This window comes from Homo sapiens, chromosome X (assembly GCF_000001405.40).
Source record: "Homo sapiens chromosome X, GRCh38.p14 Primary Assembly".
Taxonomy (NCBI): domain Eukaryota; kingdom Metazoa; phylum Chordata; class Mammalia; order Primates; family Hominidae; genus Homo; species Homo sapiens.
This window is the reverse complement of record NC_000023.11, coordinates 29,267,798-29,285,356: the sequence shown is the minus strand read 5'-3', so window position 1 is coordinate 29,285,356 and position 17,559 is coordinate 29,267,798. Positions and strand designations below refer to the sequence as shown.

At 36.8% G+C, this 17,559-nt stretch overlaps 1 protein-coding gene across 2 annotated transcripts in view; it reads right to left on the bottom strand.

The window, feature by feature from the left end:
• Nucleotides 1-17,559, bottom strand: part of IL1RAPL1 (interleukin 1 receptor accessory protein like 1) — a 1,369,273-nt gene that overhangs the window by 671,362 nt on the left and 680,352 nt on the right. For both annotated transcript variants that reach the window (NM_014271.4, XM_017029240.2), the window contains exon 3: nucleotides 2,140-2,419. In NM_014271.4, coding sequence (NP_055086.1) covers nucleotides 2,140-2,419 — 280 coding nt within the window. The remainder of the gene's footprint in view (nucleotides 1-2,139; nucleotides 2,420-17,559) is intronic.

Genomic DNA, 17,559 nt, shown 5'->3' with positions numbered 1-17,559 from the left:
GTCTCCATGTTGGTCAGGCTGGTCTCGAACTCCCAACCTCAGGTGATCTGCCCACCTCGGCCTCCCAAAGTGCTGGGATTACAGGCATGAGCCACGGTGCCCAGCCCTTCCAGAGGCATTTTAATGCAGTTTCTCAGAGTATTGGATCACAGTGTATATTTAAATACATCAGAGAATTGCAACCTCAGTGTTTTCAAAATTCAGATTACTAATGTGAACACATCATTATTTTTCCATCAATAATAAGTGACGAAATGTAGTATTATACTATGGACATCCAACTCAATTCTAATGTCAGATAAATGAGGACACACATTTGCCTATCTTGAAGAATCACCTTACGACATGCATGAACAATCAGAAATAATGATTTTTAAAAAGAAACACAGCAGATATGAAATTAAAATCTAATTACTATTGGTCAAATGGGAACAGCTAGTCCAAACAGTATTCTTTAACTGTACTAGTGTGACAGTTATTGATCTGTACCCCTACAAAACCTCTACTTTTATTAAGAGTTATGTTTAATCATAAAAGGATTAGTAAACCCTAAGAGAAAGAAGAAGAGTTGCCAAAGGAATGATGCATTTGTTTGCTTATTTATTTATTTTTGAGACAGAGTCTCGCTCTGTTGCCCAGGCTGGAGTACAGTGGTGTGATCTTGGCTCACTGCAACCTCCGCCTCCTGGGTTCAAGCGATTCTTTTGCCTCAGCCTCCCAAGTAGCTGGGATCACAGGCACGTGCCACCATCCTCGGCTAATTTTTTTGTATTTTTAGTAGAGATGGGGTTTTGCCATGTTGGCCAGGCCGGTCTCGAACTCCTCGCCTAAAGTGATCTGCCTGCCTCGGCCTCCCAAAGTTCTGGGATTACAGGCGTGAGCCACCATGCCCGGCCAGATGCATTTGTTCTTTGAAAATCCCTTAGGCATTTTTCCCAAGCACAACTCTTTACTTATATTCATTTATATTTTCCAACATTAACTCTAACATAATATATGTTGCTAGTGTTAGAAAGATACCTTTCTGTTTAACTTTTATGCAACTTGACCTATTTCAATGTCCTAGCACACCCGTAGCCATGGCTCAGCTTACAGGTAATTATTAGAGATGACGGTGAGAGGGAGGCATGATATTTATGACAGAGGAGTGTTAGCTGCTGATCAGGATTTCAGGAGCGGTAAATTTTTATTTGAAAAAGACACTAGGTGATTCTGAGACTTTCTCTGAGTTATGGGAATCCATTACTTTAGATTCTTCTTTATTTCTCTGAATAAGCCCAAATACAGAAAGCCAAATAAATAGATTTAAACACACCCTCTATATGACTATACCCAGCTTCGCTAATGTTCTAATAGTCCAATGACATACATGATCATTCATGAAGGATGTGATTCACAATCTATGAGGGGCTAAATGCTTAAACTGAGGTTTTTAACTGCGAATGTGTTACATGGGCATTGCTTCAATGCATTATCTTTAAACAAACTGCATATACCTCTTCCAGAAGCTGACAAAGATGTGTAGATGTATGGTGGGTATCCTTGGGGATACAGGAACTGAATTTGTTATTAACTTTGGTATTGGCCCTGAAAGACTTGGGAAGATTTTTGTATTGACCCAGAAGTTTTGGTTAGCAAAGCAATCTGGAACACAACCTTCATATTCTCTAACATGGTAATTCTCTCTTCCTCTCCCTGTGCACATACACACATTACCTAAATCATCTTTGCAAATGTGTGTGAACCAGAAGTATCCATGCTCTATCTGTCTGCGAAGGGCAATAGCAAAATGTTACAACTCATTTAGCAAGAAACTATGCATCCTTTCTGCAAGTCTTTGCTTACATTTTATTTGCACCATTTTACTTCCTGTATAAATTTTATTTCATAGTTTTTAGTAATTCTTGGTAACATAAGTAGCTACCCAGATGGTATCGCTTTTCTCCATAAGCTAGAAATAATGTCTAATATAAATTCCAATCCCATCTTTTTATGATTTTGATTCTAAATTTTAGAAAGCAGCAACACATGCAAATATTGAGACAACGGCTTTAGGCAAAAGAGATAGCAGCAACATTTAAGTACGAGAAAGCAGCCTGTGCTTTCTTTGATTCAGCAGTAATAGAATTAAAGGGATACCTGATGACACAGGCGTAGAGACCACTGTCCTGTAGCAATGTTGGCCGGAACCAAATGGAGTCTTCTTCTTTGCTCATTCTACTTCCGTCAAAGGCTATTGGCTCTTCAAAGTCTCCAGGACCAGAACTTTTGTACCACATCAAACTGAGTCCAGCACTTTGGGCAAGGGAGTAATTTGTTCTGATATAACCATAAAAGAGTGCACATTTGATTCGAACAGGCTCTCCCACCAAAACTTGATATTTCTTGATATCGATAGACCAGTCAGTGCATCCATCGGCTATCGTAAAAAAAGAGACAGAGAAAGAGAGGAAAAACATTAGAGGCAAAAAAAATAAGCAATTAGATTATTCATTCATCCAACAAATATTTACTGAGCATCCATATTGGGTCAGATTTTATTCTAGGCACAGAGCACATAGCAATGAATCAAACTGAGAATGGCCCTGCAAAGTAGTGGACTCTGCTAACAAACAATATATTCTTCACTGAGTCTGCTTCTGCTGTTATTTATTATTTGTTTATATCAGTGTGCTGGTTATTGATTTATTGCCTCTTAGTTCTAAATGTACCTTTCTGCCTGCTCGGTAAAAATAGATCTGGGCCTTTGAGATATGTTTTTCTTAACTAGCTGGCACTGAAGCTTTGTGGGGAGAGGGCACTGGTGAGACATTTCAGGAAGAAAGGGATTTGCTTCCTATTTTCAATGTGCTCACTTGGCAGGCTCTTACAGCGTGCAAGCCTTCTTCAGCACCTGGCTCCTACAGTGCTTGGCAACCAGCAGCTTGGCGATGTTTCCCAGGTACCTTAGAGGGAGGGTCTCTGTTAACTTGAAGAAGACAGATTTCTGACAAGTTCTGCTGGTATAGCAACTTAGCGATTTCTGCCATTCGGTAAGCTATGGTTGTACCTTCCCAATAAAGTGCGGATCTCTGCTTTGGGGATGAAAACATAGGGACTTTTTCTCAGGTGTGCTATCTCAGCCCTAGGGCTAATGGTAGCCATTCCTCTATTATTTATGGTTCTCTTTTGCTATAGACTGAATGTTTGTGCCCTCCCCTGAAAATCCATATGTTGACGCCTTAACCCTCAATATGACAGTACGTGGAGATGAGGCCTTTCTTTGGGAGGTAATTAGGGTTAGATGAGGAGGGTCATGAGAACGAGGCTCTTGATGGGATTAGTGCCCTTATAAGAAGAGACACCAGAGAGCTTGCTCTTTCTCTCCATCGTGATTACAAAAAAGAGATCATGTGAGCACAGAGCAAGAAGGTAGCCATCCAAAAGCCAGAAACCAAATTGGCTGGTACCTTGATCTTGGACTTCCCAGTCACTAGAACTGTGAGAAAGAAATATCTTTTGTTTAAGCCACTCAGTCTATAGTATTTTGTTACGGCAGCCTGAGCAAACTAATACATCTTTCTTTTATGCTAGCCAATCCCTTCATTACTATAATCCCCTGTTACATTTAATAATTATTTGTAAAAACTTTCACTGTTCAAATGACTGTGTTTTTTTCTCTAACTGGACCCAAACTGATACAACTGAGAATAAATGTTTTACAGCCAAACAATATAGAAATCAATAAAAGTGAGTTGAGCTCTGGGAGTGGTTTTTTCCCAGCCAGAGACAGAGGTAAACAGTCACTTTGCTCTGACTTCTGGGAGAATCGGAGAAGTGTAAACAAGAAACCATGGTGGGAAATGCGGAGGATGGGGGTGGGGTATGATTGGGTTTTCTGTGTTTTCTGCAGGTACCATCTTCCAAATGACATCTTGACACCATTTTTTGATCACCCCTCTCCCTGCACATGCATACAAAACAACAGGTCCCCATAGGGCAGGTACATCAACATTATCATCATCACAGAGAAGTTGTGAATTTTACTGTTTAGAGAGGGCAGTTGCCCAACACTTAGCAAGAAAATCAATTTGGCATTACTCAGAGTATACAAATGTTGAGCAAAAGGGCAAAGACTGAGAAAACAGGACCTCTGACAGTAATAACATTTGAATATTGCAAGCAGGGTTAAAGTCACTACAAATTAATAAGAGGGCAATCTAACAGCTCTGAGAACAGGATAAATAATATAATATTCAAGAGAAGAAAAATGGTCTAGATGAAAAGGAGGATGTACATTACAGCAAAGAAGACACATAATAACGTGGAATTAATTATCCACATTTATTATCTTAAAATTATATCTAACATCTAATAAGCACTTAACGATGTGCCAGGAGTCTATAAACTTTCATTTACTATTCACAGAAATATAAACTGAGGCATTTGAACTTGCTCTTCCCTCTGCCTGGAACATTTTTCGCCAACCATCTGCATGGCTTTCTCTTTCTTTCTTGCCAAATATCACCTCCTCAGAGAGGCCTTTTGCCTTCCCATCCTGGTCACTTGATCCAGAGTATGCCTTGGTATTTTTTTCACAAGACCTATTGCTATTTGATGTTATATTATGCATCCACTTTGCTTTCTGTCTCCCCGGTTGAATGTAAACCCCTTGAGAGCAGGGACTTTGTCCTTCTCACTTCCCTTTTTAGCCACAGTGCCTAGAATTGTGCCTGCTAACCAGCTCAGCATACATTTACTAAATGAATAAATGAATGAATGCATGAATAAATAAGCAAAATAAACAACTGAATTACCAAATTATACAGTTGAAGAAACTCCATGCCAGCTAATAAGGGTGAGTGCTGGGGTTCTCACCCAGCTTTATCTGAACCTAGAATTAATTCTCCCTACTGTCACATATTGTTTTTTAATAAAGGTGTCAATTTCACAGCATTCTTTGATTTAGTTCATTTCAATTACCAAATTTGGGTTTAAAATTTTTACAAAAGGGCTGTATTGAGGTACTATCTAGAGTAAATATGCTGGAAGCTTGGTGGGCACCATCAATGTCTGAGTCATTGTCATAATTCCTGTCATGACTACTGTAGAGCTGGCATACCACGTTAAACAGGAGGAAAAAACTACACAGAGATGTCCAAGTTATATAATTGCATATAATATTTATCAAAACAGTTTTGTATATTTTCCCATTACATAAAATGAATCCTAGGTGGTAATTTTTTAAACAGTTATAATTTTGATTATAAGTGTAAAATTATTTTGTTTTACCACTATGTAAATTACAATAGAATCAAGTTAATATAACTGACTATCTGTCATGGAGGGTATCGCTGCTAGTGAAAAAGGCTGAAATACCTTCAAGTTAGCAGTATATAAACAGTAAGATAAAATTATTCGAGTCTCAGAAGATTTGTAGTATAAAACAAAATGCTTGAAGGTAAGCAAAAAGATTTAGTCTAGAAAGTTTTAAAAAGTTAGTAACAAATTAGATCAAGAGAATAGAGAGAGAGTTGTGTTGGGAATGCATATAGATATTACTACACACTTTCAGAATATGCTTTCTGAGAAAATGTTGGAAGAAAATCACAAATATTCCTGAAAATTACTCTTATTCCATACCTAAATATCAGTCAGGAAAAAAGTTTCATACAGTTCAACGTCATGTGCCAAAGAAAAGTTAGAGGCAAAATGAAGAAATGGCACTTTGGACGACATTAGAGACACTTGGTGTTCATTTCAATATGGAAACAGAGGGAGGATCTATGGCTTAGGAGGTTTTACTACCATTAAACTAAATGCATCCTGTTAAAAAATAAACTTAAAATGGTTCAATAATTCCTGGGAAAAGATGGTAAACACTATAAAGAACAGTTCAAGGCATATTCAAATTATTTGAATAAAATCTTTTTTTTTTTTTTGAGATGGAGTCTTGCTCTGTCGCCCAGGCTGGAGTGCAGAGGCACGATCTTGGCTCACTGCAACCTCCGCCTCCCAGGTTCAAGCGATTCTCCTGCCTCAGCCTCCTGACTAGCTGGGACTACAGGCGCACGCCACCATGCCCAGCTAATTTTTGTATTTTTAGTAGAGACGTGGTTTCACCATGTTGGTCAGACTGGCATCAAACTCCTGATCTCGGATCTGCCCACCTTGGTCTCCCAAAGTGCTGGGATTACAGGAGTGAGCCACCAAGCCCGGCCTGCATAAAATCATTTAAACAAATGATGGACCTATGTCTCTCTTCAATAGTTACAATAAAACATTTTACTAAATGAAAGAAGTGATGAAGGAGATATATTTTTTTCCTTTGTTAACGGTTTGCCTCATCTGCACACATGTTCTCTCTCACACCTTCTATATTGTATTATTGTTTCTAAACCAGCTGAAAAGAAATTAGAGACATAATGATATTTCATCCCCAAATACGTCAGTATGTATCCCCTTGTGAATAAAGACTTTAAAAATATAGCCACAAAGTATATTTTTTAACCTTGTGTAGTGAGACTTTTCAAATCTTAAAAGGATATGTGATAACTTAAAATCTAACTCTTGATGAACAGAATTGCTGTTGATCCATTCAGTTTTTTCTTACTTCAGCACACAAGCTTTGTTGGCTTGGGAACAATCATTCCAAAAGCATATTTCTAGACACTGTTGATTTCAGTACACATTAATTGTATGTAATTCATATAACTTTTATTGTTATTGTTTTTTAAAATTATCATCAGGTAATTGTGGATGCTGGTAGTACTTAATCTGTTTTTCTCCCTTTCGGAATAAAATACCCTTCTGTAAGTCTCTCTCAGAAAATTTGCTATTGGTACTCTCCTTCCCTGATGGGAGGATTCTATGGAAATACTCCAGTTCAACATATCTCTGCAGTACACGTTCTTTCACAGCCAATGGGAGTTTATGAAGGAAGCCATGAAGTTACATTGGGGAGTGGGAGTAAGAAGTACCATATTCATTCATTTTTGTTACCTCTCATAAAGTTCTGGGAGCATATATGAAGACAGTAATGGAATTAAGATTCAGAAGTAATTCCTTCACTACTGATGTACTATGAAGAAAACTACATATATTGGCTATTATCAATATATTCAAATAAGAGTAGAAAAAGTATTTTTAATTAAGTCACTGTTACTACCTATGTAAAAGCTAAAAATATGTTCATGGTAACAAACTTGAAGTTTGAATTCTTTCAAAAAAGTCTAATGATATAATTTATACATGTTGCATACTAATATGAAAACAAAATACTATATTTATAGAAGGATAAATTATGTTACTTTAAAGTAAAGTTGAGCATCCCTAATCAGAAAATCCGAAACCCAAAATGCTCCAAAATTCAAAACTTTTTGAGTGCCAGCCAACATGATGCCACAAATGGAAAATTCTACACCTGACCTCAGGTGATGGGTTACAGTCAAAATGTAGATTCACAGAACACAATTTATTTAGCATCCCCAAGGAAAATATAAAATTACCTTCAGGCTATGTGTATAAGCTATATATGAAACATAAATCAATTTTATGTTCAGACTTGGGTCCCATTTCCAAGATATCTCATTATATACTGTATATGCAAGTATTCTAAAATTTGAAAAAGATCTGATATCCAAAACACTTCTGGTCCCAAGCATTTCAGAAAAAAAGGATACTCAACCTGTGTCTACTTGGATAGATATCTTGGAATAATAACTAAAAAGTAGGGAGAGCGACTCTCACTTTGCAGCAGCAACTCTTGTTGTTGGAGAAACAAACAAACAAACCCAAACTTCTAAGTTTGCCTTTTTAAAGCTCTACACTTGACTTCGGCCTGAGAAAAAGTCTTCATAAGGGTTGCTCTTCCTTGTATGTGTCTATATGTGAACAAATCCTCAATGTTTTAGGTTAATTTTCTCTGAACAATTCTTTAACTGTTAATCTGAAGGTCCCATGCATCTGTGTGGGATCATGTTATTCCTGCCTTGCATTAAGTAAATTCAGCTTAAGACTTGTTTTTGAATCTTCTTTTTTTACTTCTCTTAGTGTTTAGAAGTGACATGAGAAAGTACCTAACACAGTACATGGAACACAGGGGATGTTCTGCTTTCCATTCCCACACTGAACAGGAGCAGAAAAAGCCCTGCTATTTCAGCAAACACAAACAGATGCACGTCATCCTACAAGAAAATCTGGATTCTTATTTTCTTTTATTAGCCTTCGCATAAGAAACTGATGCAGATAGGTAAAATCTTGGTACATATGGTCCATCTTTGACTTTGAAGACTTTTTTCATTCTTTTGACTATTTAGTTACCCTATGTTCTTTAGTTAATACATACTTTCATTAGCATGTATCATATTAAATCATTATTTGCTTACATGTATTTCATTGATCACTGAAGTGTGGTGTACTCTGAGAAGTGGGACTTTACCGTATCTCTATCGCCATCTCTATATCTATCTCTATCTTTCTCTATCTTTATCTCTATTTCTATATCTGCCTAGCTATCTGTTTATCTATCTATGTATCTATCATCTACATATCTAAATCTCAAACTGGACCCAGCAGCATGTGCCTGTAGTCCCAGCTACTCAAAAGGCTGATGTGGGAGGATTCTTTAAGCCCAGGAGTTCTAGTCTCGTCTGGGCAACATAGCAAGACCCTATCTTTAAAAAAGAAAAAAAAACCTCATTTAGCTCTAATTATAAATTTAGAGCTATTTCCATATCTATATATATTTGGGGCACAATAGGCAATCAATAAATGTGTGTTGAATAAATTAGTGATTAACTAAATAACTGTTCACTTAAATGAGTATTGAAAATGTATATCTTTGGTGTTAACACAATCGCTTATAACTATTGTTTGTAGATATTTTTAACCCTGATAATTAAAAAATAGCAGTATGCATTTTTCCTTTATAATATTGCAAAGTGATACAATTTTCTAACTCAGAATAATTTGATTTCACAAAATTGAGTGTACTTCAGAACTCAATAAATCCTTGTTGATATATTAAACATAGTTTACTGAATTAAGCTTACTATTATATTGTTTATTTAGCTCATGTATGTCTCCTGGAAAACCCTCTATTTGGGTAAAAACTGATAGGAATATGTTCAGACAGATAGGTCAAAAAGTATTGCCAGCTTCAGGCATTTTATTCCTTTGGGACACTTGTTGGACACTGGATTAAATATCAACATGATGAGCAACAGACCAAACAAACACTGATAAAATTTAATCCTTTTCCCAATTTAGAGGAGCCTCACAGGGAAGGCCTGTTAGATGGCAGGACACCCAGCCAGCAAATTGATCCTTTAAAGAGAAAGTAACAGGGTTCAAGGCACAGATTTACTTTTATTTTGTTTTTGTTTTAGAGCAGACAAAAGAACAGAATTACACTTTTCAAGATAGTAAGTTACAAAAGGTCTTTAAATTTTATAACAATCCCAAATGGACTAATGGATTGTTTTCAGCAATGAACATATAAAATAATCATGCATTAAAGTTCAAGTCATATATTGGTGTGAGACAACATGTTATAGACCGCATATGATGTGCAACTCACTCTTCTATGACAAAGATTACTGAGACTTGCATCACCCTTGAAGATATCATCTATAAGTGGGAACAGACTTGTCAAAAACCATGTATAGCACAAGAAAAACGAATAAATTCTGAGAGCAAAGATAACATTACTGAGGAAACACAAAGCAAGAAGTTTGTTTTACCTCTCAACCCAGAACTGTTTTCCATTTCACAGATGAAATAATGGAGCAGGAAATATGTCTAGGAAGATCAAAAAGGATTTAAGAAAGAGATGAAATTAAAAATGTGCTTCGTTCAAAACCTGATAATTTGGAAGAGAAAATTGCAAGCCAATGGTTTATCCCAGTTAATAGGACAGTATATGGTAAGGTTCTGAAATAGTGGAGTGGTGAGGAGTACAGAAGAGTGTAAGGAGGTGAAAATAAGTGCAGAAAAGACAGGTTTGGCAAGACACCATGCCAAAAAACTTGAACTTAATTCTGTAGCCCCGTAGTTTTCAAGTTTTCGTGTGCATCAGAATCACCTGGAGGACTTTTTAAAACACAGAGTTTTGTGCTCCCCTCTCAGAGTTTCAGATTCAGAAGGTCTGGATTGGGACCTAAGGATCTGCGTTACTACAAAGTAGTTACTACAAAGCAGGTGATGCTGCTGGTCCAGGGATGACACTTTGAAACCCACTGCTAAAACCAATGTTGACAGTGGTAAATGTCTGCAAACGAAGTGTTATTATCTGATTCACATTTTAGAAATATCACTTTCAGGACAATATCAAGGATGGATTGGAAGGGGATAGCTAGGAGTAAGGAGACAACTCAGAAAGTTCTTAAAATAGAGGTTACAAAAAAAAAAAAGAAGTAGCAAAGGATATGACAAGGAAATGTGGGAAGAATTGTAGTCAGAATCAACAGGATGCTGAAATTGATCAGAAGGGCGAGATGAAGGAGGAGAAGGAGTCTAGGATGACTCTGAGATTTCAAATCAGGATTCCAGAGAAGATTGTGGCACTATTAATGGAAATGAGGAGCAAAAGCAGATTCAAGGCGAGAGATAAGTGTTGTTGGGGTCAAAGTCTTGTTTGTTAGCTTACTACACATTTTCTGCCTTCATTACAGGTGTTTATACAGCAGAACGTTATTGCTTGTACTTTCTGGTATGTGCAACAAAAGCACTGCCATGTATCCTTTTCATATTGTGAGCTCTGCTGGACATTCAAGCCCCTGGCATTAGAGAAAAATTTAAGGAAAATAAGAATGAAGTCTGTTGTGTATTTTAATATGCATATGCTTTCACATGAATAATATCATACAGATTAATTGCCTATTTGATTAACTTCTTACAGAGATTGTAGAGGAAAATTAGACACACACAGCTTGTGTACTGCTCCGCCAAGTGAATTTCTAAGTGAGAACTTTTAAAAAGGTTAGAACCATTTTTTAAGTGATGCCAAGTCTATTTTTATCAGAGAAGTCTCATGAAATATATAATATATTGTAAACAGATTAGCTTCACATACAACTGTTTTGGGCATTAATCTACATTCATATGTGTAATCATATATCTATTATGATTGGTATCTGTTGACATACTGCATTTTGTTCAGGGTATTACAAAAATGTATCTGTGTACCTCCTTCAGGACCTTTCCTTCTCATTTTTGTCATACATATAATAATATCCATCCATGTTATCGGTTTAGTACTTCTTCATTTTCATAGCATTTTCATAAACACTCTCAGACTCAAGTAAGAAAAAAGGGGTGATAACTTGAGGAAAAAATCATGGGGATATTTATGTAACTTTGCATGTGTTTTTTTTCCAGCTGTATTGAGGCATAATTTACAAATAAAAATTGTATATGTTTAAGGCATACAATGTGATGTTTTGTTTTAAGATACATATATATGTATTGTGAAATGATTAACAAATTCAAGTATAGAAGATTGCCTTGATGGGCACTGGCAACCCCACCCCCACCATGCCCCCACTCCTGCCAGTGCGAATACACGCATGGATGCTACCAACCCTGCTTCTGCCACCACCGGTGTGAATCTGTGTATGGGCACAGGAAACCCTGCCTCTGCAAGTGCCCTACTCCCACCACTGCAGGTGCAAATGCTAGCACAGATGACAGCAACCCTGCCCCCACTGGTGCCCCTCCTCAGCTGAAAAATGTGCACCCTACCACACATGCTGTGGCTGCTGGCACACCCGAGTGAGCACAGATCCCACTGCTACCACTGGACAAAGCGCTTTGGCTGGCACTCTCCAACAGCGTGTTGTGGCCAGTGGACCAAGAACACTTAGGTCCCTCCAGTACAGCAAGATCTTAACTTCAAGGGGCTCGAGAGCAAAGGCAGGGGCCCGGTAAAAGTCCCTCAGAGTTAGAACACACAGTCCAGGAGTGCTGTGTTGAGCCGTGGCCCCCTAAAATCTTCCAGAAAAGAGGCCAGTTGAAACCCACCTTATACCACAAACAAACCCCCACTGGCATCACAGAAGATAAAAGCAAAAAGTGCCATTCAAAGGACGCAACTTCAAAGACTGAAGGAACGTCAACCCACACAGATGAGAAAGAACCAGGGCAAGATCTCTGGCAACTGAAAGAGCCAGACTGTTTTCTTACCTCCAAACAACTGTGCTAGTTCCCCAGCAATGGTTTTTAACTAGGCTGAAATGGCTGAAATGACAGACATGTAATTCAGAATATAAATAGGAATGAAAATTATGGAGATTCAGGAGAAAGTTGAAACCCAAACCAAGGGATCTAAGGAATACAATAAAAAGACACAGGAGCTGGAAGGCAAAATAGACATGTTAAGAAAGAACCAAACTGATCAGATAGAGCTGAAAAAATTCACTTCAAGAATTTCATAATACAATCACAAGTATTAACAGCAGAATAGACCAAGCTGAGCAAAGAGCTTGAAGACTGGTTATCTGAATTAAGTCAATCAGACAAAAATAAAGAAAAAAGAATAAAGAAGAATGAACAAAACCTCCAAGAAATATGGAATTATGTAAAGAGACCAAATCTATGACTCACTGGCATCCCCGAAAGACAGAAAGAAAAATCATATTTGAGGACATCATCCATGAAAGTTTCCCTAACCTTGCTAATAGGCCAGCATTCAAGCTCAGGAAATGCAGAGAACCTCTGCAACAATACTGTACAAAACGACCATCCCCAAAACACATAGTTATCAGATTCTCCAAGGTTGAAATAAAAGAAAGAATGTTAAAGGCAGCTAGAGAGAAGGGGCAGGTCACCTACAAAGGAACCCCGTGAGGCTAACAGTAGACCTTTCAGCAAAAACCCTACAAGCCAGAAGAGATTGGGGGCCTATATTCAGAATTGTTAAAAAAAAAATTCTAACAAAGAATCTCATATCCAGCCAAACCAAGCCTTTATAAGTGATTGAACCAGGGAGAAACCATATTTTTGAACAGAACAATAACAGAACAGAACCATAGTGAGTTCTGAAATTGAACCAGTAATAAAGCCTGACTACAAGGCTACAGTAACCAAAACAGCATGGCACTGGTACAAAAACAGACACACAGACCAATGGAACAGAATAGAGTCTAGAAATAATGCCACACACCTACAACCATCCGATCTTTGAGAAAGTTGACAAAACCAAGCAATGGGGAAAAGACTCCCTATTCAATAAATGGTACTGAAATAACTGGTTTCAATATGCAGAATATTGAACCGGACCCCTTCCTTACACCATGTACAAAAATTAACTCAAGCTGAATTAAAGACTTAAATGTAACGCCTAAAAGTATAAAAACTCTGGAAGATAATCTAGGACATTCCATTCTGGAAATAGGCCCTAGCAAAGATTACATAATAAGGACACCAAAAGCAAATGCAACAAAAGCAAAAGTAAACAAATGGGACCTAATTAAACTAAAGAGCTTCTGCACGGCAAAAATATATAAATAAATAAAAATAAAAAACAAAAAGCAAAAACCAAACTATCAAGAGAGTAAACATACAACACACAGAATGGGAGAAAGTATTTGCAAACTGTGCATCCAACAAAGGTGTAATATCCAGAATCTATATAGAACCTAAACAAATTAACAAGCAAAAAACAAACAACAGCATTCAAAACTGGGCAAAGGACATGAACAGACACTCTTCAAAAGAAGACATACACACAGCCAACAAGCACATGAAAAAATGCTCAACATTACTAATCCTTAGAGAAATACAAATCAAAACCACAATGAGATATTATTTCACACCAGTCAGAATGGTTATTATTTAAAAGTTAAAAAACAAAAGATGCTGGCAAAGTTGTGGAGAAAAGGGAATGCTTATACACATCTGGTGGGAAGGTAAATTAGTTCAGCTACTGTGGAAAGCAGTGTGGTGATTTCTCAAAGAATTTAAAGCAGAACTATCATTTGATCCAGCAATCCCATTATCGGGTATATATCCAAAGGAATATAAATCGTTCTGTCATAAAGACACATGTATGCATATGTTCATCGCAGCACTATTCACAATAACAAAGACATAGAATCAACCTACATGCCCACCAATGGTAGACTGGATAAAGAAAATGTGGTACATATACATCATGGAATACTACACAGCCGTAAAGAAGAGTGAGATCATGTCCTTTGCAGCAACATCAATGAAGCTGGAGGTCATCATCCTAAGCAAACTAATGCAGGAACAGAAAACCAAATACTGCCTGTTCTCACTTATAAAGTGGGAGCTAAACATGAAGTATACATGGATACAAAGAATAGAACAACAGATAACAAGGTCTACTTGAGGGTGGAGGGTGGGAGGAGTGTGAACATTGAAAAACTACCTATCAGCTACTATGCTTATTACTTTGGTGATGAAATAACCTGTATAGCAAACTCCCATGACACGCAATTTACCTATATAACAAAGCTGCACATGTAACCCTGAATGTAAAACAGAAGTTTAAAAAAAATTAGTCAATTATCTCCAAAATGTTATATAGATTTAATACAATGACAATCAAATGGGCATACTAATTCTAAAATTCACATGAAAATGTTAAGTACCTGCTATATTCAAAATAACTTTTTCAAAGAACAAAGCGTGAAGTCTTATGCTACCTGATTTCAAGATTTATCACAGTTACCATAATCAAACTAATCAAACATAATCAAAGTCTTGTCATCAAGATAGAAAAATAGATAAATGTAACAAAATTAGAGTCCAGAAATAGATCCACACATATATTTGCCACTGATTTTCAACAAAGCAAAAAGGCAATTCAGTGCAGACAAGATACTCTTTTAGACAAATGGTGCTGGAGTATTTGGGTACCCATATGACAAAATCTAAACTTTGATTCATACATTCTACTGTAAACAAAAATTTTCCTAAAAAGGATCATGGATCCAAATGTAAAGCATAAAACCATAAAACTTTTAGAAAAGACAGGAGAGAATCTTTGTGACTTTGGATTAGGCAAAGGTTTCTTAGATAAGACACCAAAAGCATAACTCATAAAAGAACAAATGGACTAACTTCACGTCATCTAGCTGCTCCATTCCTAGGTATTTGACTAAGACAAGAAAACTCTACGTCTATACACGTGCACACAACTGTTCATAGAAGCCTTATTCAGAGTAGCTCCAAATTGTAAACAATGTAAATTTTACCAACAGGTGAATAAGCAAATGATGAATGTAGTCATATAATTAAATACTAGTTAAAAATGAATGAATTATTTATACATGTCATGGATGAATCTCAAAATAATTACACCAAGTGAAAAAAGTCAGACAAAACAGAGTACATACTGTTTTGATTCCATTTATATAAAACTCTAGAAAATGCAAACTATAGTGGCAGAAAGCGAGTCAGTGATTGTCTGGGATAGTGACGAAAGGGAGAGAGCATTACAAAAGGCCATGAGGAAACTTTTAGTGTGATGGGTATGTTCACAGTCTTGATTGTGGTGATGATAGTTTCATGAGTTTATATATATGTCAAAACATACCAAATCGCTCACTTTAAATATATGTGATTAATTGTATATCAATTATACCTCAATAAAGCTGTTAAGAATAGGCTCTCTGCCTGCTTGGTTGACAATAGAATGTAGGTGACAGACATCAAAAAGAAGACCTATTAGAAGATCACTGCAATAGTTCAGGTGAGAGATGATGGCAGCACAGAAAAAAAAAAAAAAAGAAGGTTGCCTTGAACCTTAAACTCTACTTTCCAGAGTTTTCATTGGCATGATTTCAGGCATTCTTTAAATAATCAAGGTAAGTAGAAACCTATGTTTAAACAGCAGAAAATTACATTGATTCAATCTTTGTTGCTTTTGGTTTTATTTTCCCCTATCTTTGAGAGTGCAGCTTATGGGTGTGGGGTAAATTCATGTATATTTTAAAGGATTGATAAATTTGAGGTGAAGTACTTACGTGAAAAGCTGTACTGGCCAGTTGTTAATATAAATATCTACTAAATCCAAAGCCAAATGTAAGCTGCCTCAGTGCTACTTAGCAATTAAAAGATCATCAAGTGCTGGTTTATCACTGGTTTACCAGTGAGATTATCTTTACAGTCTGCATATTAACAACGATTAAACTCAAAACTAGATGAATTTTCTGGCCTAGCAGATGCTATCTCATGATAACACTTAATGCAGTAAATCACTAATATTTAAATAAAAGTTTAAATTCTCAGTGAGTGAAAGTATGTTTTTGTATGGTTAATAAATAGCTTTAAAGAGGAACTTAGGACTTCATGGTTCATCCAATTCAGAATCCTTTCTTTAGCTACTTTCTACCGAAAAGATGTAGCTGGGTTTCTTGATGCATCCTTCAAAAGTTAAGACTTCAGACACTTAGTGGTCATACCATGTCCCTTTCCTTTAATATGTTTCAGACAACCAACAATATTTGAAATTTTAGAGGATGAATGATTTTACAGCATTTAGTCTGTGTCACTTCTGGACAGAAGCATTCATTGATTCGTTCACTGATTCATCCTTTATTTCAACAGATATTTACAAGGTGCCTGTTGTATCCTAGGGCACTGTTCTAGCTGGGCTGAGATTTGATAAGCTTACTGCATAGCGCATTAAGCAGGGTTCCCCACTTTATTCTAAGCTTACAGCTGTTCCCAGCATATTGTCATGAGGAAGATGGATGTTTGTCCCAAATCTTACTTTATTTTTTCAATGTAGTATTCATAGATATTTTCAAAGCTAACCAAGGCTGTGTGGTGGCTTGCCCTTAGTGATGACAAGGGTATGTGCACGCACACATATATACACATGCACACATATTTATTTTTTATTGTTCCTTAATTTTCAATGCCAAGTTCTTATCTTTGTATTTGACAGAAAAGGCCACCCCGGTCTACACAGAGACCCACTTGAGAATTATGCAATTATGAAAAATAAGCATTTACTCTGAAATTAATCAAGCCTGTTCATTCTCTTTCTTTATTTCCATTACTGCGCCATGAAATAGTCAATCACATACTCTTTTATTCTGTAAATTGGAAAATACTGAATAATCAACACCTTTGAAATTTCAGAACTTCATTCAACAGAGTAACTGTAGTCCCTGACTTCTGTTTTAATATGCTGCCAGTTATTGCAAGTCATAATAGCATAATACAGGGCCCGGAAAAATATCATTCACTCAGTCGTTTCCTTGAATGGTTTTGGGGTATGAAGCAAACTATTGTACATCACTGTCCTCATAATGAGATTGTTCTGCTGGATAAACAAGCTCCCCACAGGCCCTACCTGCTGATAGGACCCAGTGAACCAAACATTTAACACTTCACAGAGGCTCCTCCCTGCCATTCCTCTGTATTGCATGCATCATTCTCAGGAGAAAATTTGATGCAAAGAAGTAGAAAATTGAGCTACTGACTCCTAAGTCTGTTGCTACAACCTGGCTTAGTAACAAAGCCTCAATTCAATTTCTGGGTTCTGTGAGATAATGGAAGTTTCAAAGTTCCAAATAAAATTGTGGAAATATAAATTCTTGTTCT